This window comes from Homo sapiens, chromosome 8 (genome assembly GCF_000001405.40).
Source record: "Homo sapiens chromosome 8, GRCh38.p14 Primary Assembly".
Taxonomy (NCBI): domain Eukaryota; kingdom Metazoa; phylum Chordata; class Mammalia; order Primates; family Hominidae; genus Homo; species Homo sapiens.
In genome coordinates, this window is record NC_000008.11 from 74,272,946 (window position 1) to 74,295,148 (window position 22,203).

General features: G+C 39.5%; 1 protein-coding gene across 5 annotated transcripts in view, besides 1 other annotated feature; it reads right to left on the reverse strand.

Moving 5' to 3' along the window:
• JPH1 (junctophilin 1) overlaps positions 1-22,203 on the reverse strand; it is an 86,841-nt gene that overhangs the window by 38,246 nt on the left and 26,392 nt on the right. The window lies entirely within an intron of this gene.
• Positions 8,075-9,274: an enhancer, noted in NCBI's record as "CDK7 strongly-dependent group 2 enhancer chr8:75193255-75194454 (GRCh37/hg19 assembly coordinates)". NCBI's record gives its function as "activates an origin of replication core promoter dependent on BRD2, BRD4, P300/CBP, MED14 and CDK7 cofactors, with strong dependence on CDK7, by STARR-seq in HCT116 cells {active_cell/tissue: HCT116}" and the evidence as "EXISTENCE:reporter gene assay evidence [ECO:0000049][PMID:35650434]".

Below are 22,203 nucleotides of genomic sequence, written 5' to 3' on the forward strand. Positions count from 1 at the left end.
GTTACTTATTAAAATATATTTTCCAGGGTGCTGGCATAATTCCAGAAAACAGTTTGTCTATCTTGGCTCTCAAAGTCTGAAATTAATGTTTAAACTAAAACCTTACCTTCTCTAAACATAATGGAAAGACCTAGATTATTTTTAAAATCTTCTTTGTAATCTTAGAAGAAACTATCAATTTAACCACATCATTTGTAACTACCAACTTAAATGTTATAAGGTGATGAATCCCTTGTATAATGAAAAATCTCTCAACTACTGAATGTTTGCTCGATGGGTTTAATATGATGGTGAATTTTGGGAGAAGAATATATAAATATGTACACACATTTTAAATATGTATACATTATATTAGATTGAAATACATATATATCTGCACCAACTTAGGAGTATCTGAAAGTTTTTTGTTTTCATTTGGGGCACATACTTAACTGAATTCTTCTTATCCTCTAATGTTTTTTGGTTGAGTCCCAGGAAAAATAACAAGAAAAACTAATCAACAACAACGACGACAAACCCAACCACACAAAAAACTTCGGGAATGAATAATTTAACCAAAATATTAGATACAACTCTTATACTAGCACTGCCTTGACAACAAGTCAGGATCGCTCATATTTTTAAGTTATAATTTCATTACCTACAGTACCAGGCTCCTCTGTCAAATAAGGCTTTATTACAGGGCTATTATGTAATTCAATTCATGGCTTAAAAATGTCTCCTATGTCTGGAAAACCTAATTGGAATGGTACTGTCCTTGCCTCTTGGTAAGAAATCATTAAACTGGAATTCAGTAACCCGATTTTATTTTAAAAATAATATAGCGCATTTTTATTCAGTTTTTGAAATACCCTTCTAAGCTTTTGAGTGATTTAACCAGTCTTCTTTCTTATGCCCTGGGACCTTATGTTGACCTGAAGTTTAAGTTATGAAGGAGGTGTCTTATCTTCTGTTGTTACTTGAGCCTCTACAACCTCTCTCAAAAGCCCATTTTTCCCGTCCCTTAGCCATCTCCTGGCAAGAAGCCCCACTCCCTGCCATTTGCCACTTGTTCTGGGCTATTTTAATTCTGGACAAGTTGTGGTAGTAGGCTATATTTAAATTGGCCTGCTCTGCGAAGAAACACGGCAAATGCATGTGGCACCTTTTCCCTTTTTGACATAATCCAATTGTGCTCTGGCTCTGAATCAAGCTGTGAGATTCTGTACCACACACCCTGGCTTGACTCCCACTCCCCGCTTCCTAGGTGTTTACCACCCAATAGGTGGGGCAGTGGGCGTTTTCTGGGAGAAATGAGCCATGGCAGGGACTGTAGAGCAGTCACCAAAAACTTAAGAGACTGAATTGAGAAACGTGAACAATAATGAAAGGAAAAGTAAAGATGCTTTCTGGCTCCAGCTGAGCACGGCTGGAATATTTATAGAATAATTTTTTCAAAGACCAATTTCCAGATATAAATTTTGTAAGGTATAATACATTTACTGAGAGAAGCTTACAAGAAACTGCACGCACATAAAAAAGCCAGCTTTCTCATGTTTCTGAGCTTTTAGATGTGGACGTTCTAAGAACATTTGGTTCTAAGCTGCACCTCCCTTTTGCCTCCTCCACTGCCATTAGTTTAGACACGTCTGTGCTAGACAGAGGGTATAAGCTCTTACCTGGAGTTATACTGTTGCTTCGAGAAGAAAAATAGGTCAGAAATGCCCTGAATCATTAAAAATTACATAAAATGTACAAAACACCTTTCTAGAGAACAGCTGTTGAGGGCTTGTAAACTTTCACAGTTCAAAGTTGACCTAAAGCCAGAATTATCCCTCTATCATGAAAAATCAGAAGACAGTTAACTTTTGAGGAAATATTTTACATGTCTAGGACTTTTGCCTAAAGACCTAACACACATGATGCTGATATTAACATCTTCACTTTGCTGGCAGTGGAATTAAAATCCAGCTTAAATTATATGATCATATTCACCTAGCAGATCTGGAGGAATTTTAGTATAGAAACCAAGGTTTCGGCCTATTTACTTTTAAGATGTTTATTTTGCCTGCCTGGGCTATGAGAATTTTCCTACTGTCAGCCAAATTTTTATTTGATTTTTTGCTGAATAAACATTACTACCCAAGCAAGTAGTAAATAACAGACTGGGCTTTTGTTTTCTGGAATAAGCAGGAAAACCATCTTAGAAATGTTAAGTTAAAAAAAAGTCTTCATCCACCTAGACTTGAATTAATTCAAAGCCACTTTTAAATGTCCCTAACACAGGAGGGACCATTCACAGACTATTTGGTTACATGTAGTCAGGGATACAGACTTTCAAACTTATCTACATAGTAGCAAAACAGAGATGAAGAAAATGGATCAAAACAGAGATGTCTGTTTTTACTGGAGGGCACATGTTACTGAATATAATTACGCTTTGAATATCATGAAAACACAACCCCAAATAAATCCCATGTTACCCTTAGTGCTCTGAGCTTTCAGAGAGCGAATTCCAGATTTCAATAAACAAGATGTCATCTTCTTTCCTGAATGCCTTCCCAAGCTCTCTGGTATTCTTTTAAGTAAGAAAATTACCTAAGGTCTTCTTAGTTTTTCTTTTCTTTTTCTAAGATGTTTCTTTAAGCTCATTCTTAAAGCCAGCATGACAACGAAAAATGTGAGCGGCTCTTTCACCGTAACTATGCAGAACTGCACTTGGCAAGAGGTTGTGTATTCACTAATCTGGATCAAGAACCTGCCTTGGAAGCCCACTGTGGCTACATCACAACAGACAATGGGAGCATAACGTCCTTAAAGGAACTTCCAATCCTTTAATGTAACAGTCATCAGTTTTTCTTCACAGAACAAGGATATGAGGCAGACACACTTCCCCACCCCCTGCTCTGAGAATGGGGAGAAAGGTTTCTGAGTCCTCTTTCTTACGTCAGAATCAAATCAGGAAAGAGACCAATTCTGGCCTTAAAAAACAATCTAAGTGGTTATTATTGAGCTTTTAAAAATATTTTTAAAAATATTCCTAATTATGGTTCGAATTTGATTATATTGTATGCTTCCCTGTAATATTATCAACTAGAAGCACACATATAGCTCATACATGCTCTAAGATTTAAATGAATGAAAGGGTTATGGGTCATTATTTCTAGGAATAAGAGGGTAAAGGAGAAGTTAAGAGAAAGTGTATATTCTTTTAAGGAGGCCAGGAGAGAAACTAACATTAAATGGACACATAAAACCATAGGTGTTGGGAGCTGGAAAAAAGGGGCACAGGTCAAGGTTTTTAGGTAAAAGAGTCGTGACAGATGGAACAGGTCCCAGATGTCTACACTAGCCATAGGACCGTGCTCCACTCATCCTGAACAACAGGTTGATCTGAGGCTGTGAAGGCAGGAGCAGGGAGATGACCTGTGAACTCTGCCCTTTGTAACATGGAGGTCAAGTCCCAGGTTCTCGCCTCTATGTGGCAGTAACAGGACAATATATAAAGGAGAGTGGCAGACTCTTCCTAGTCAATGATTTGCAACCTATAAAGTACTACCATTGCAAAAATATAAATACCTGGGATACACTGACGATATTAAGTCAATCAAATAAGTATTGACAATAATGATAATTACTGTTAACACCGAGTGCTTATTATATGCCAGGTTTAACTAGCATTATCTGAGAAGTTTCTGCATAACATCTGTCATCTACCTTGGGCCACCAGTTGGTGAGTGGCGGAAGCAAGGGTGACCTGAAGGTAAGAACTGCACATGCACACCTGCATCCCACCCCACTGTCCTAGTCGAGCTGTAGATTTTTCCTATGGTGGTCTTTCTGTCCATTCTGTCTGTAAATCCTTGGTTTTCCACATCATCTGAATTAATAAAAGATGAACATTTTCTTCCAAATGACTTTTTAAAATTTTTCTCAAATCAATATATACAGTTCTCCTTATTGTATGAGTTGATTCTTGCATATAATGACCTTTTAAGAGATGAAGTTTTTAGTTTAAATAAGAGTATAATCGACCATACCATGTAACAAGTGATTGTTAGCTACACTAGTTTTTCACATTATTTTACTTAAAGATAAAAAACTTACGAAGTTTCAACATCTCCCTTAAGCCCTTGTAAGATGTTGAAGTGTTGCCAGTGTTGTTTGTTCTCTTTCACTGAGGTTTCAGCAGGTGATGCAGGCCAAACCCGCTCTAGCAAGCACTTTGTGATCTTGGGGTGGCATATGAAGCCCTCTGCCTGCAAAGCCACCCTGAGGCCACACTTGCCATCCCATCCTGGTCCCCGCTGTGCTCCCGCCATCTGGAGGCCCTCACTGTTCCCTTCCCACCCACTGCCCTCGGCATGTCCTTAGCTGTCTTGGCACCTGTAATATTTGGCATTGAAAAGCCGGCTACCTCAATCTACAGCATATTGTTACAACCACAGCATACCTGCAATCCTTGGATTAGATAAGCATAATGGAATTTTAGTCTCCCTGGACTACAGATGTAGACACATTATTTAGGATTCACAGACTTCAGAAGTGGCAAACTCAAAGTCCCTCTTACATCATATTGGAACACAGCCAAAGTTGAGTTTCTTGCTGTTTGTCCAATCCATTTCTATGGTGGTTAAAAGCATGGGTTCTGGAATCAGACTGCCTGGATGTGAATCAGCTCTCACCACTCACTAGCCTGTAACCCAGGGTAAGTTACTTAGCCTCACTGTGCCTGAGTTTCTTATCTGTGAAACGTGAATAGTGGTAGAACCCACCTCTTAGGGCTAGACGAGGCTCACAGATGTATACATAAATCCTAACAACAGAAAATACAGGCAATGCTGGGCAAAGAATGAGCATTCAATGGCATGCAGAGAATATTTATCCATTTGATTAATAACTTAAAAATAAGTTTCTAAATAAGTAATATATTCACATGGCTCAAAGATATATTAAAAAAAACAGGAAGAGTCTCCCATTCACCCTGATATCAACCCAGCCATAGCTAACCAGTGTTGCTTTTTTTGTTGTTGTTAAGCAAAAGGATTTTCCCAGAGTTTTAAGTATATACAAGAAAATATGAATATAAAATCCTATTTCCCATTTCTAAACAAAAAGAGGCAATATATGTGATATTTATTGATATGGTTTGGCTGTGTCCCCACACAAATCTCATCTTGAATTCCGATGTGTTGTGGGAGGGACCTGGTGGGAGGTAATTGAATCATGGGGGCAGGTTTTTCTCATGCTGTTCTCGTGATAGTGAGTAAGTCTCATGAGATCTGATGGTTTTAAAAAGAGGAGTTCCCCTGCACAAGCTCTGTCTCTTTGTCTGCTGCCATCCATGTAAGACATGACTTGCTTTTCCTTGCCTTCCACCATGATTGTGAGGCTTCCCCAGCCATGTGGAACTGTAAGTCTAATACATGGCACTGTCTTTCCCATAGCCAGGATTCACTGGTCCAGAAATCAAGCAGGGGAAGTGGAAGAGGCCCCACTCACCATCACCCTTAGTGATCCACTAGCAAAATTTTTGCTTCCTGTTCCCGTGACATTACATTCTGCTGGCCTAGAGGTCTTAGTTCCAGAAGGAGGAATGCTGCCACCAGAAGACACAACAATTCCATTAAACTGGAAGTTAAGATTGCCACCTGCACACTTTGGGTTCCTCCTACCTTTTAGTCAACAGGCTAAGGGAGTTACAGTGTTGGCTTGGGTGATTGACCCGGACTAATGCACTTATGTACCTTTGTAAAATGCTACCAGAAACAGTAACCAAGCTTAAGGTAATACGTTGTGCCAAACTCCTTTTCCCTTCATGAGCGATGACAGAGAAATAGGACAGCAGAGACTTAATGGGGTGCTGGTCAAAGACTTGGATTTGGGTCCTGTTCTGCCATTTGTAAGCTGTGTGACTCTGGCAGACCACTTAAAAGTCTTGGAGATGTGGAAGTGGTATTGCCAACATGTTTGTATGGGAATATAATTAGGGATATGTGTAAGTTTTGTAAATTATGAAGCAAGACAGACACACACACACACAGAAACACACACGCACACGCGCGCACACACACACACACACGCATACACACACACAGCATCATTTTAAGTTAGAAGCTGCCACAACCCACAAGGCCACTCTTTCCACTCTGGAAACACTGGTATGTGGCTGTGGAAACACCATGTCCCTATTTCTGATTCAGTATCTGGCTGGCCAGAGGACATTTCTTGTCTAGGGTCCCAAGGCTCTACCATTCCTTGAGAAACAAAGACCTGGTGTGAGGTGGACTCTGACTTAGCTCAACTTTGTTCAACATTTCCCATATGGATCCAATTTCTTTGGGAGCTGAGCTAAAATGTTGTCAACAGTAATTTTTACCTAATGCTAGGCTTAAGGTTTGAAAATAAACAAGAGGTAAATTGGGAAGTGGAGCAGAAGATGACATCAAAGACTTCCCAGCAGTTTTTACTTCCTCGGAAGCAACACAACCTGCTTAGTCCTAAAACCAGGGCTGCCAGACTTTATTCCCTCTGTGTTCCTGACACTGGCAGCAGCTGGGATCTTAGGTTCCTAGGGGGCTGAGCATGGGTGGAGTAGCAGCTCTGCATAGGGGCTTAAGAGAATGGATTCCTTCTACTGCAGACTCCTCACTACTTAGGCCTAGGGCCTTCTATCTACCTGTGATATATTCGTTTCCTCATTTGTAAAATTAAGGGGTGAGAAATACCGCAATTCCAATTCACTTCTTATACAAAAATCTAACATATTCTCTCCCCTTGCTATAAAAGCAGATAAAAGTGTGTATGTTCTGGCTTACAGTTACCCATCTTCACCCCTTGGCTTTCCCCTGCCTCCAACAACAGCCCTTCAATAAAACCTAAGAATTCTGAGGAACACAGTTTGAAAACCACTGGAAAACTAAAGAGTTCTAAAGTTCCCTTCAACTTGAATATTCGATAGTTGTGGTAGCTGCATTTTATTTTTAAATAAATTCATTTATTTGTATAAATAAAAACTAGACCTCTTGTTATTTAGTGATGATAGTCTTCATATTAAATTTGAATTTTTTTGCTTTGGTAAATAAGCATAGAGGTATCAGATTCAACAAAGGAGAGGCAAATATACCTTCTAACTAAACTTTCCTATCATTTGAATGATAAAGAATCTTAAATAATGGACTATGCACAGCAATGAAATCTGTAGTAAGTAAAAAATGAAGTTATATGTATTTGTAACTGTAGATTGCAAAGTCTAGCAATAGATGTTTATGTATATTAACATAACACTCGAGGATTAATAGTTGATTATTTTTATAAGTGCATGGTAGGAGGCATCATAATAGAACCATACAGGGTGCAAAGTACAAATATCCCTAATGGACTGGGCAAAAGGTATCACCTCCTCAGCTGTGAGGTGGTGAAAACTTGGGGGACTTTGCCATCCTCATGGGTAAGAACTCATTATGTGCAGAAATGGCCATTTTAAATTTGACTTCCAAGAACTGGCCTACTCTTCAGCAAAGCAGACAGATGGTTCACATAATATTGGTTTTTAATTTTTGATTATTCTACTGACACATTCACCTTTCTTATTAGTGATGAAATGAATGGAGGTGGGAAGGAAGAAGGGAGGCAGGAAGGGAAGGAACAGCACAGAGAAAAGTGGATAACAGGGAAACTGAGGAGGAAAGGAAAGACGGCGACACATTGTCTACTGTGGATTCAGCACACCAGAGGGTAACTAACCAGAAGACATTTTAGAGTTAAATTTAACATCAAAAATCTATCTTAAGTTCTCAAAAATGTGGAAATTAAAAACTGAATATTTATATAAGACTATAGCATGCATGAAAATATACACTCAAATAATACACACATATCATACTGCCTGCCTTGCAATTACGGAGCATCTATATTTTAGGAACTTTGCTAAGCACTTTATGAACAAATCATTATGCTGGACTCTCACAACAGTTCTGCAAGGTTATTATTCGCTCTAATTTATGTATAAGGAAATATGCTCCAGCAGGTAATGGTTTGTCCAAAGTACACACCAATAAACAGCAGAATCAGGACTAAACCTGAGTGTGTTCAATGACTCAGCTCATGTTCTTTCCTCCGCGTGGTTCTGTCTTTCACCTGGAAATAATTAAAATGTTATGGGGAAATATCTGCCAACTTGTGCTACTTGTTTGCTTATTTTACTGGTTCTTGTGTTTAAGTCTTAAACAACTTAAACTTTTGTATTTAAAGTCTTAAAATGAACTTTCACTAAATTGATCTTTCAGATAAAGAAGATTTTTATCAATTCTGCAAGCTACAGATAAAACTAATAATCAACTGGAAATTAACTAGCATTGCTAAACCAGCTCTGCTTACTGTTATCCTCCCTGGATCAGAATGTTACCAGTGGTTACTTGGACATGTAAGTCTTGCCTTAATATAGTAGGAGCAAAAATCCTACTGATCCCTCAGTGAGCCAGTTTGGTTAAGAGTGATGAAAATACTAAGTGGACAGATGTGTCTACCCAATTATTTCAGTTGGACAGACCTAGCCTTAGTACCCAACACACATTTTGAAATAGCCTCGTACTTTTTAAGAAACAAGTTACTATGGACAACTTTCTAACTAATGTTTGATATGAACATTTCATTTTCATGAGAGTCTGTAAAAGATGCTAAGAGTTCTGATTGCAGGGAATCCAAACTCCAAGCCTGGGGATCACTGTGATGTGTTCCAGATTCATTCTCATCTGTCCTGTGTGGTTAGTGGGAGCTACCCCAACCCTGACCTGACTCATTCCACAACTATCCCCTCACATTCATACTTCTGTGATCTTAGGTCATGGGATAAATCTTCTTGGATTTCCCCCTCCCACACCCTGCCCTTTTCTTACAATCACTGGTACCACCCACTGCCAGCCTCTTCCTTCCCAGGAGAGCTGAATGGCAGCCACCTTTGACATTATAACAGACTGGAAGATGGGGAAAGGCTACGCAGAAATGACCAAACTGGCTCTCGGAAACACGCTTAAGAAGCTGTCTAATCCAACCTGAGTTTAGGAGACTTTCCAAATGTTCCATAGTTCCCTGTGTTGGAAGGATCACTATGCATCAGGCATTACATAAGATCCAGCTCATACATGAACCTACCTAATCCTTTTGATTTCCCTATCAGTATCCTAAAGTTATTGATGAAGACACCAAGGATCAGGGAAGTTAATTTACTTGCCCAAGTTGGAGTCAAGACTTTGCCTGACCCCAAAGCATGTGTTCTTCCCACACTCCACTACCTTAAATCACTGAGATATTCACTGAGTGTGAAAAAGATTAGTCCCCCTTGCATGCCTACTAGTCTAGACCTTCCACCAAGTTTTCCCTATCAAAGACCCAAAGCTGTTATTCAAAAGATGTGTGAATATTTTATTCTAAAATATTACACTTGGAGCGATCTGCCCAACCACAGAATGTATTCCATACCCTATTGGAAAGCTTTAAGTTTTTTTCTGTGCCATTAGGATAGAGATGTCACGAATATGCATGCTGAGGTGGGTACCAACAGTCTTTTCAACTGCAGGAAAACATTTTAAATTAAGAGTTTTAGAATGTATATATTTGAAAATAAGCCAAGCACAGAAAGGTAAATACCACATGGTTTCATTCTTTTGCGGAAGCTGAAAAAGTTAATCTCATAGAAGTAGAGAGTAAAATAGTGGTTAACAGAGGTGAGGAAAGTTAGGAGGGAGATGAGGATAGCCAGAGGAGGTTAACTGAGGCAAAATTACAGCTAGGTAGGAGAAATACATTCTAGTGTTCTATAGCACTACAGGGTGACTATAGTTAACAATTCATTATGCATTTTCGAATAGCTACAAGAGGGGACCGGGAACGTTTCCAACATAAAGAAATGATAAACGTTTGAAGTGATGGATTTCCTAATTGCCCTGATTTGATCATTACACATTGTATACATGTATCAAAATATCACACTGTTCTCTATAAATATGTACAATTATATGTGTCATTTAAACATAATAAATGAATTTAAATGGGTATAATATTTTACTAGAGGTATTTTAATGAAGGGCATCTTGACTTTTAAAACACAGTTAAACAGTGTTTATTGTAGCAATGCTTGTGACAGTAGGGTGTTAGGGGTTATTAGGGGAGCAGCGAGTAAAACGTGTATGTAGACTTTACCATGCAGCAGTCAGAATGCACCAGGGGTACATATGGCTGCATGGATAAATCTTAAAACTGTGCTGAGTGGCAGAAAGTACATATAAATACAACTTAAAATGCATGTAAAATATAAAATGTTATTAATATCTTAAATATATATTTTTAAATTATAAATAAAAGAAAATGGCCTGTGTGGCATAGTGTCATTTATATAAATTAAAAATATAGAAAACAACACTACATTTTTCAATGTCTACATAATCAATGACATATAATAAACATATTACTGAGTGCTTATAGAGGGGAATGGGAAAAAGGGAGCACAAGAGAGGGGCTTGCACTGATGGTTGCATACAGAAAGCCAGAAACTGAGGGCTGTGATGACATCAACCTTCTACACTGAAAGGTTAAGAAAAGGGAAAGGAAGGTGAGAAGGAGGAAAGATGGGCAGAAATACAGGTAGGCAGAGGATGAATACAAGTTATGAATCTAACTCAGAGCTTTGGCTCCACACACTCATTTTAATCTTTTAGTTCTATTTTTATCTTATAGTGGCATAATATACAATCATCAGTTTCAGAAACTTCTTTTAACAGCGTGCTGAGTGCACACACAGCTCCCCCTCCCCAAGCCCTGATTAGAAGCCCAGATTGCAGCTTGAATACTAACATACACTGAAAGTGGTACTTGTTGGCATTAGAATTGAACTCTTGGATTTAGTCCCATAAAAAATGCTCCTTTTTCTTTTTATAAATATATAGACTGGCAGAATATAAACACCACAGAGCAAAGAGATGGAGGAAATGAAAAGAACAGTGGCAAGTAGCGCTTGGATGGGATTTAAAGTCTGAGACTTTCTCCTTTTCCTTACATTCCTCCCCTCCACCCAGGAGATTCAAGGGGTGGCAGTGATTGCAAATTTCCTTCCCTTGGACCCAGGAGTCCTCCTGTCTCTTAACCTCAGGCCAGCTGGGGAGGGCTGTGGTGGTTGGGGAAAAAGCCCTCAGGAGCCAGGGCTGGTGAATGAACTCCTAAACAAACTCTCTATTGACACATCACTAAAAATAAGTATGCTTACATGCATAACACATTTTTGGAACAGTAAACTGAACTCTCTCCTTTATCCTCTCTTGAGACTTATGTGTCATTCTTATTCAAATTTTTATAAAATAAAATGCAGGTGCAACATCTTCCAGCACTGTAGGTAGTAACTTTTGATGTGATGAATGCACATCTGCTGAGAAGTTAAGGAATTGTGGAGAGAGTGGCTGGGTGGTGTATGTCAGCTAGCTAGCCTGTATTCCGGTCAAACGCTGATAAGGCTCACTTGGGCATTGCCTTATTTAGTCAGACTTCTCTGCTGAAACACCGGTGCACGGTGACAACTGTGCATGCTATTACAAGGCTTTCTCCTTTCAGTCATCTGCTGACACACCAATTAAAAAAAGCGTCTCCATTATTGAAACAGCCTTTCCGACTAGCAACTTTCCTACAAAGAATAAAGATAATGATATTATAAATAAATCTGAATATGTTTACCTGGCAAAAGAATTCTCATAAGGAATAATACAAATTGAGTTCTAGTTCTTAAGGCTTTTTTCCCCCAACACTAAACAAATTATAATATTGTATATTACTACTCTACTAGCTTGGCTAAGCTGCATTTTTTTTTTTTTTCATAGACCGGTATGTGCTGGTATGGTTACTATTTCTTCTTTCTTTCTTTTTTTTTTTTTCAGACAAAGTCTCACTCTGTCACCCAGGCTGGAATGCAGTGGCGCAATCTCGGCTCACTGCAACCTCTGCCTCACGGGTTCAAGTGATTCTCCTGCCTCAGCCTCCTGAGTAGCTGGGATTACAGGCAGGTGCCACCACACCTGGCTGATTTTTGTATTTTTAGTAGAGATGGGGTTTCACCATGCTGGTCAGGCTGGTCTCGAACTCCTGACCTTGTAATCCACCCACCTCAGCCTCCCAAAGTGTTGGGATTACAGGCGTGAGCCACTGCGCCTAGCCTATGGTTACTATTTCTAACTGGAGATTTTTTTTTAAACCAACAGGCATTATGGTGTTGTAAAGAGCCTTACACTCAAAGTTAGTGACTTGATCTAGACCTGATTCTGCTATTAACTGCACATACACACATACACACACATATACATGAATTTTTCCATATAAATACTATATCTACTTTATGAATTTTTCCATATAAATACTACATATAAATACTATATGTATTTAAAATATTTTCTAGAAGTCTAGCATGTGAGCCGGTACTACTTCTAGAATGAGGAAGCTCTTTATGTAATGATATGGAATGAAATCCAATATATAGTATATTATTAAATTAAAAAAAAGCCTAGGATGCAGTGTTTTCTGAGCTAGAATCCTTTATCTGCAACTCCAAGATCTTGAAAGCTTTAAAAATCAATATTTCCTTTTTATAAATTTAGTGTCAAAACTTGACAGTAACACCTGAATGCAACTGACATGAGGCTATTTATGATTCTTCTTTATCCCACCTAGTGTGATTATTCAGTTTCCCTGGAGAATTAATGTGTCTGATTACTTGGTGTGCTCAGACCCCCTGGGGATATTATGTAATCTGCATTATATGCAACATGTTGCTTTTCTAAAATCCAGTTCTGAATTCTAAAACATATCTGGACCCAAAAAGTTTTGGATAGCAATTATGGACTTGGAGCATGTAACCATCTGCATCAAAGAGGATAAAACATATTTCTATATATGTAAATAACAGAAAAAGTTTTATGAAGATACTTCACTGCCTTCAGGGAAAGGATTTGGTCAGCTGGAGTGAGGAGGAGATTTATCACTCAGTCTATACCATTTTGTACTTTAAAATTTTGAACCATGAACATGTATCATTTATGCAAAAAATACGGAAAGTTAAATGTTTTAAAAATCATCACTTGTAAATACAGGGCAAGAACCTGGTCTATTTAAAATACATCCTGTTAACTAGCCTTTCATATGCAATGCTTCACACCCATTGCTGGTGGTTACCTTGATCCATATCCTACTCGGTCACCATAAACTCCCATTTCTCTTGACTGTCACCTTACACATTTCCAAGTCTTTCCGATGCAACTGTCCCTTCCTTTAGAACACTGTTAACATTTTTTTCTGCGTTTCTTCTTAAAATTAATTTTTAATATTTATAATTGACATAATGATTGTACACATTTATGGGGTACAGTGTGATGTTTCAATGAGTGTATACATTGCATGATGATCAAATCATGGTCATTACTGTATTTACTACTTTAAACATTGATCATTTCTTAGTGGTGATAACATTCAAAATCTTCTCTTCTAGCTATCTTAAAAGTATACACTACATTGTTGTTTGCCAGAGGCACCCTACTGTACAACAAAACACCAGAACTTATTCTTCCTAACTGTAACTTTGTACCCATTGGCCAACCTCTCCTGATCCCTCTCTTCCCCACTACCTTCCCCTACAGTTCATTTCTTAAATGAAACTTGTATCTCCCTAACCTACCTGATTTATAATTATGTCTGTAACTCTATAAAACATATAAGTAATTGGCCAGATACATGCTTACTTATTTCTCTTATCTTCTCCATTACACTGGAAATTCATGAAAGCAGAAATAAAATAATCTGGCTTTAAAATTTTTACTTGGTACAGTCTTTCTTACATTGATGGTTAGTTAAATGGTGTGTATGTTTGATCTTCCTAAAGTGCCTTCCAGGGCTTGCCCAAACAGTAAGTGAAAAATATTTGCCAAACTGAATTAAGCTTATAAAACACAATCATTTCCCAAGAAAATGGAAAATAAAATGGAAAAAATAATCAAGGCAGGCTTTTGAAGACTCACACAACACCTGTAATGACAAGAGTCTATGTAGGAGATAGAACCCTAGGCTAACAGGGAGCTACTTTTAATTTACAACTCTCAAGAGCTGAAACAGCCACTTGTGGTGGAGAAAACCCAGTAATGCTTTTGGAGCTCTTGCATGCATTAGATATGGTTTAATAAGAATTACTGCAAGTTGGCTGGGCACAGTTGCTCACACCTGTAATCCCAGCACTTTGGGAGGCTGAGGCGGGTGGATCACCTGAGGTCAGTAGTTTGAGACCAGCCTGGCCAACATGGTGAAACCCTGTCTCTACTAAAAATACAAAAATTAGCCATGGTGATGCGTGCCTGTAAACACAGCTACTTGGGAGGCGGAGACACGAGAATCGCGTGAACCTGGGAGGCAGAGGTTGCAGTGAGCCAAGATTGCACTCCGGACTGGGCAACAGAGCGAGACTCTGTCTCAAAAAAAAAAAAAATTACTGTGAGTTAAAAATTACATTTTTTCTTGTAATGTTAAGGAAAAAAGGTTATCTACTGATTGTTATGAGCCCCAAGGACCTAGGGTTGAAATCTTTAAAAATCATGGGCTACTAAATTTAGAAACAGCCTAGATCTTTTTCTTAGAATTCTTGAAATCACTTCAAAATGATTTTTGAGAAGGTCACTAAATTGCATTAGTTTGCACATACAATTTAACAATTAGTCTAGTTTCTTTTTTTTTTTTTTAAGGCAGAAAGCGGAGACTTTTAAAGAAGGGTGAAATTCCACTCAGTGACGTGAAATTTCCGTCTGACTATACATTTCATTCACATCCACTGTTTTGGCACTGGTAACAAACAGTTGCATTCAAAACCAGCAAAAATGAAACAAAATAACTTTTTTTTTGGAAATTAATCTTATTGAAGAAATTCACTTTCAAACTATGTCCCTATAATCACAAACTAAAGAGAAAACATCTATGTCGTTTTCAATACAAATATGTACTTGTTTTAGCTGACAATATTTTTTTTTTTCAGCTAGAAAACCCTTGACAACAATTCTAAGTCACCAGTCTCGCTTTACTGCAAAGAAAATTAACTCCAGGGAAGTCACAATTTATTGGATGTGTTCTATCTGCAAGGTATACAATTATTAAAGAGAACTGGCTGGACTCAGTACAATATTGTCTAATAAGTATTACACCAAAACAGAGGTCTGTACTGAATGCCATGGAGAAGAGGGCAGATGGAGGCGGGTGGAAAAGCAGCCCCAGGAGGGGCTTTGGCGAGGACAGGTTTCATCTTCCCATCCTCCGTGGGTTGCTAAGCCTCTGCCACCCTCTGCAGCAGAATTTCAGCTGCACCAGCACTTATGCCTTGCAATTGGCTGTGTACTTATTTGTCTCACCCAAGGGCTGCCTCTGAAAACCCATTTCTTCAACAGCATGCATGTCATCAGCAAGGAGTAAGCTCTCAATTAACATCCAGTAAATGAACTAGATTGATGAACGACTTTGGGGTGAAAATGGGGAAAGTAGAGCCAGACATCCAGAAGGACAGAGGATCACAGTCTATAAGTGGGGAGGTGGGAAGAGTAAGAAAATGGGGTTGGGCAGGAATGGCAAATGTGGGCAGAAGACAAGAAAACGCAAGAGGGAGAAGGAAAGGATAGTTAAGGAGCACAGGAATAGTCAAGGAAATGCTTTACTAGGAAGGTGAAACACAGAGTTAAGCCCATGGACAATTTCTCAAGAGAGATGAATGCATGTCATCTTTGGTAAATACCAAGGTTGGTGCAAAAGTAACTGCAGTTTTTGCAATTAATTAGGTTGGCGCAAAAATAGCAATTACTTTTGCACCAACCTAATACTAAATAAACAGAAGGTGTGAAACCACAGACTTATGTAACTGTAACAGTCTTCAGTTATTTGAATAACCTTTTGTTTGCACATTTCAGGTAAAAGCTTGTAGATATTTTAAGTATGTAGAGAGCTGACTTGGCCTTAAAAATGACACTCAAACTATGCCCTTCTTTTGTGCATGGAGTGAAGACTTTACCTAAGAGTTTAGTGCTGGGCCAATATGGGCTCACCCATCTGTGAAGGGAGTGGGGAAGCTGCAGCATAAACTCTGAAAGATACAAGCAAACTAGTCCAAGGAAACACATCTGTACTAAAACCACAGGACCTTGTAAACCAGGCAACCTTCAGTAACGGGAAAGGACGTTTTCTATAGAAACCTTCCTGTTTTGAGAAAATGGAGCAACAGTCCAGTCAGATTTGATTTTCATTTCTTTACGTGATTAATAGGAAATGGCTACTGTGGCTTAACACCATTGCAGTCTGGCAATGCCTGCGTCCAACCCACTGACACCACTAGCTACAGCATGACCTTCTTCAGAGAAAGGTAACACCACCTTAGCGAGAACAGACGGGCTAACATATTAATAATGGTGATTAATGCTTTGACTGAAAAATAAGCAGAGACAATTCTAAAGGTATTTAAATGAAAAATGTGCAATAAACATAACCCTGCAGTAGCACACTAAGAACTGGTGTTCCCACAGTGCTGCTGGTGCCCCCAGCACCTGTATTGGTGCCCTTTTCTCATCCTCTTTGCTCTACTTAGCACACTCTCTCCCCATTTCTACCTGCCTAAATCCTTGTCATGGTTCAAGATCCAATTCTAACTCCCCTTTCCCCATGACCTTTCCTGATGCTGCCGCATGGATAAGCCTTTTGCCCTTACGAACATTACTTAGCACTTAAAATGTTCTGAAATAGCTCTTATTATTTTGAGATACGTCCCATCAATACCTAGTTTATTGAGAGTTTTTAGCATGAAGGGCTGCTGAATCTTGTTGAAGGCCTTTTCTGCATCTATTGAGATAATCATGTGGTTTTTGTCTTTGGTTCTGTTTATGTGATGGATGACATTTGTTGATTTGCATATGCTGAACCAGCCTTGCATCCCAGGGATAAAGCCAACTTGATCGTGGTGGATAAGCTTTTTGATGTGCTGCTGGATTTGGTTTGCCAGTATTTTATTGAGGATTTTTGCATCGATGTTCATCAGGGATATTGGTCTAAAATTCACAGCCAATATCATACTGAATGGGCAAAAACTGGAAGCATTCCCTCTGAAAACTGGCACAAGACAGGGATGCCCTCTCTCATCACTCCTATTCAACAGAGTGTTGGAAGTTCTGGCCAGGACAATCAGGCAAGAGAAAGAAATAAAGGAAAAGAGGAAGTCAAATTATCCCTGTTTGCAGATGACATGATTGTATATTTAGAAAACCCCATCATCTCAGCCCAAAATCTCCTTAAGCTGATAAGCAACTTCAGCAAAGTCTCAGGATAAAAAATCAATGGCAAAAATCACAAGCATTCCTATACACAATAACAGACAGAGAGCCAAATCATGAGTGAACTCCCATTCACAATTGCTACAAAGAGAATAAAATACCTAGGAATCCAACTTACAAGGGATGTGAAGGACCTCTTCAAGAAGAACTACAAACCACTGCTCAACAAAATAAAAGAGGACACAAACAAATGGAAGAACATTCCATGCTCACCGATAGGAAGAATCAATGTTGTGAAAATGGCTATACTGCCCAAGGTAATTTATAGATTCAATGCCATCCCCATCAAGCTACCAATGACTTTCTTCACAGAATTGGAAAAAACTACTTTAAAGTTCATATGGAACCAAAAAAGACCCCACATTGCCAAGACAATCCTAAACCAAAAGAACAAAGCTGGAGGCATCACGCTACCTGACTTCAAACTATACTACCAAGCTACAGTAACCAAAACAGCATGGTACTGGTACCAAAACAGAGATATAGACCAATGGAACAGAACAGAGCCCTCAGAAATAATACCACACATCTACAACCATCTGATCTTTGACAAACCTGACAAAAACAAGAAATGGGGAAAAAATTCCCTATTTAATAAATGATGCTGGAAAAACTGGCTAGGCATATGCAGAAAGCTGAAACTGGATCCCGTCCTTACACCTTATACAAAAATTAATTCAAGATGGATTAAAGACTTACATGTTAGACCTAAAACCATAAAAACCCTAGAAGAAAACCTAGGCAATACCATTCAGGACATAGGCATGGGCAAGGACTTCATGACTAAAACACCAAAAGCAATGGCAACAAAAGCCAAAATTGACAAATGGGATCTAATTAAGCTAAAGAACTTCTGCACAGCAAAAGAAACTACCATCAGAGTGACTAGGCAACCTACAGAATGGGAGAAAATTTTTACAATCTACCCATTTGACAAAGGGCTAATATCCAGAATCTACAAAGAACTTAAACAAATTTACAAGAAAAAATCAAACAACCTTATCAAAAAGTGGGGATATGAACAGACACTTCTCAAAAGAAGACATTTATGCAGCCAACAGACACATGAAAAAATGCTCATCATCACTGGCCATCAGAGAAATGCAAATGAAAACCACAATGAGATACCATCTCACACCAGTTAGAATGGCGATCATTAAAAAGTCAGGAAACAACAGGTGCTGGAGAGGATGTGGAGACATAGGAACACTTTTACACTGTTGGTGGGACTGTAAACTAGTTCAACCATTGTGGAAGTCGGTGTGGCGATTCCTCAAGGATCTAGAACTAGAAATACCATTTGACCCAGCCATCCCATTACTGGGTATATACCCAAAGGATTATAAATCATGCTGTTATAAAGACACATGCACAAGTATGTTTACTGTGGTACTATTGACAATAGCAAAGACTTGGAACCAACGCAAATGTCACTGTGGCACTATTTACAATAGCAAAGACTTGGAACCAACCCAAATGTCCATCAATGATAGACTGGATTAAGAAAATGTGGCACATATACACCATGGAATACTATGCAGCCATAAGAAAGGATGAGTTCATGTCCTTTGTAGGGACATGGATGAAGCTGGAAACCATCATTCTCAGCAAACTATCGCAAGGACAGAAAACCAAACACCACATGTTCTCATTCATAGGTGGGAATTGAACAATGAGAACACTTGTACACAGAGTGGGGAACATCACACCCCAGGGCCTGTCGTGGGGTGGGGGAGGGGGCAGGGATAGCATTAGGAGATATACTTAATGTAAATGACGAGTTAATGGGTGCAGCACACCAACATGGCACATGTATACATATGTAACAAACCTGCACGTTGTGCACATGTACCCTAGAACTTAAAAGTATAATAATAATAAAAAATTAAACAGAAAAAAACGTTCTGAAAAACACAACTGATTCCCACATGGCACTTACTCTCCACCTTGTATCACAGTGATGTGGAATGTTCCACTACTAACTAATATGCCACTTGAGCGCTGGCATTATTCCATGCTCACTTGGAACCCCCTGAATACCCAGCAGTGTCTACTCAAGGAAGCGACATCAAACGGCCAATAAGCAAGGGGCTTGGTCTAGGTCTTCCATGAACTGCCACTAATACACACTGCGGAGGGGTCTGTGGTCACTGACTTCTAGCTCCCTGTGTTTCCTGTGTTTTACCTAATTCTTCTGATGCCATTTTGCAGATTACAAGTTACCCAGCTGCATATGGGGGAAAAGAATGGCTTCAGTTATTTCCTTAAAGCCTAAACAGACACACTTACAAACGGGTAAAATGAAGATATTTTAATAATCTTAACACAGACGTTTCACACTGCTGTTAAAAAACAAACAAACAGAAAAGTAGTGTAAGGAGAATTTCCTACCTAACTTTAATGTTATTTTCTCATACTTTAAATTCTGGCTATTTCTTCTGAACAGGTTGATCAAAGCCATATGAGGTAGCAACACAGAAATGTAGATGTGTAGGTGGGCAATTGTGTTGAAAAGGGAAATCCAATCAAGTCCTGTTTAGCAAGGCAAAAAGCAAGACAAAGACACAGGTGTTCAGCTCAAAGCTGTTTAAACTTCATAGCAGATGGCAGGCAGGGGTGAATCAGGCTGGTCTGAGTTTTAAAAAGGAAGCCTCCATCAAAGAAATCTGTCTTTATAGCCACAGTTTGCACACACCCTAGAGCAGCCTTTGGGAACGTCAAACAGAGGTGTGGTCATACAAACCACAGGCTGGGATTCTTCCTCATATTTGTATGCAAAGTATTAGGAGAAAATAATTTACTCTTTTCCAGAATTTGGGTAGGAACCTGTACAGCTATCTTTCTCAGAGACCTGAGAGCCAATGAACTTCTACTACTAATCTAGTAACTGAAAAAATATATATTATGACCTGTATTTCACAAAAGCCTTGGATAATGCCTCAAAGACACTATTATATCCTTGGATAGGCCCAGTGTGGCAGCAGGAAAACAAATTCACCAAAAATCTCTTGATGTGACCCCATAAGAGTAAGAGCTCCACCTGCACAGAGTTTACTAGCGTTGGGCACCGTTCCAAACACTTAACACACACCAATTCATTAAGCACTCATTCTAACCCTGTGAGGAGGTGCCACTAACTATCATGCCCATTTTACAGATGGGGAAACTAAGGCTTGGAGAGGTGAAACCGGTTGCTCAAGGCCACTTAAAGTGACAGAACCAAGATCTCAAGTTGCACAGCTGAACGAACCACTACCCCATCATGCAGAAATATTTCAAAATAATTCCCTAAATTTCTCTGAGTAAAAACCAGGCTGTCATGTTAAAGATTTTATAGGCATGCTTTGCCTTTTCTGCCTTCTGTAATACTTGGTGATGCAGCTCACATTCACTTCTTTGATTTCTGGCAACCATAACTGAATTAGAGTTGACTTACCACTTCTCCTTCCAGGACCAGACTGACCATAAAGAGGGGAGGGCACTTTATCAGAGCTGAAACTATGAGACTATGCCAGGCTTGGACCACTGCCTGTGAGATATTTCTGGCAAAAATAGGATAGTCTGGACCCAACTTTTGGAAGACAAAGACACCGGGGGCCAATTGACACCAACCTCCCACTCAAGAGCCAGCAGCCCCTAGGTTGGGCATGGGGTGTCTCTTTTGTAGAGCGCAGACCAGGGTCCCCCTTCACTGCAGGAAAGGGCTGCCTTCATCTCAGCCCCGACTTCCAAAACACAATGCAGGCGTCACTCTGGTCTGTCCTTGGGGGCTGGTGGTGGGGGAAAATCCTGCACACCTGAGGGAACTCCTCTGAATGTGGGAGGCAGGAGCATGAATGGCCACAAGGGCAATTATGTGAATGTGCTCTACAGCTAGGGCCTGGGGACTTCTCTGTAGCCTGATTTCTTCTCATTGAAGATAAAGTTCCCCACGTGCCACCTGCCCTCAGCTCCTGCTCTTTCTGCACTTCTCTCAAGCAGCTGAGTAATAAAACTGATAAATCAAACCTACCTTATTCACCTCTCGAGCTTCATTTCTAAGTGAAGCATTTGAACACTGTCCAGGTAGACCAGAGACAAGCCAAGACAAAGTCGGCCACGGTGAGGAAACAGGGCCAAAAGCAGGCCCGGATGTCCCTGTCCTGATTCACGTACTACCAAGACAAAGCAAGTCAAAATGAGCACTAGGCACAAATTCTACAACAATCTCTCTTCTCACAAGAATTCTTCCTCTTCCTCAGAACAAATTTCTTTTTTGGTGATGCTCCCACACATTGTCTGAACCTCCACGTAGCTATTATTTAACTTCAAGCTGCATTGCTAGTTGTTTACATATTCATCTGTCTCTTGGTTATAAATTTCCTGAAGGATAGAGTCCGTATCTTTTTCATTTTGGTTTCTCCCAAGGCACCAAAATGTGTACTTGCTTTACACAGAGCAGGCATTTGGAAAATGCTGGTTCAAATGATCACAACATTTACTCTAACATGAAATATTTAGTGTCCACTTTCTACTTTAAATTTATTGACTCTTTAAATTTTCACAATGGTCCTCTGAGTAGCTATTGCTGTTCTTTTCCCATTTTGCTGATGAGGGAGCCTGAGACGTGGAACAGTTAGGCCATCTGCCCAACTCACAGCATTGGCAGGGCCAGGGTCTAAACGACTGTCTGGTGGCACAGAGTGTGTGCTTTACCACTAACCACACATGCTGCTTCTCTGTGCCCTGGACCTACATAAGTTTGAATGACAATAGCACTTTAGCAGGGAAGAAACAAATGAGAGCTCCTAATCCTCCATGCTTTTGCCCTTGCAGGTCCCTCTGCTTGGAAAGCTTTTCTCCCCTT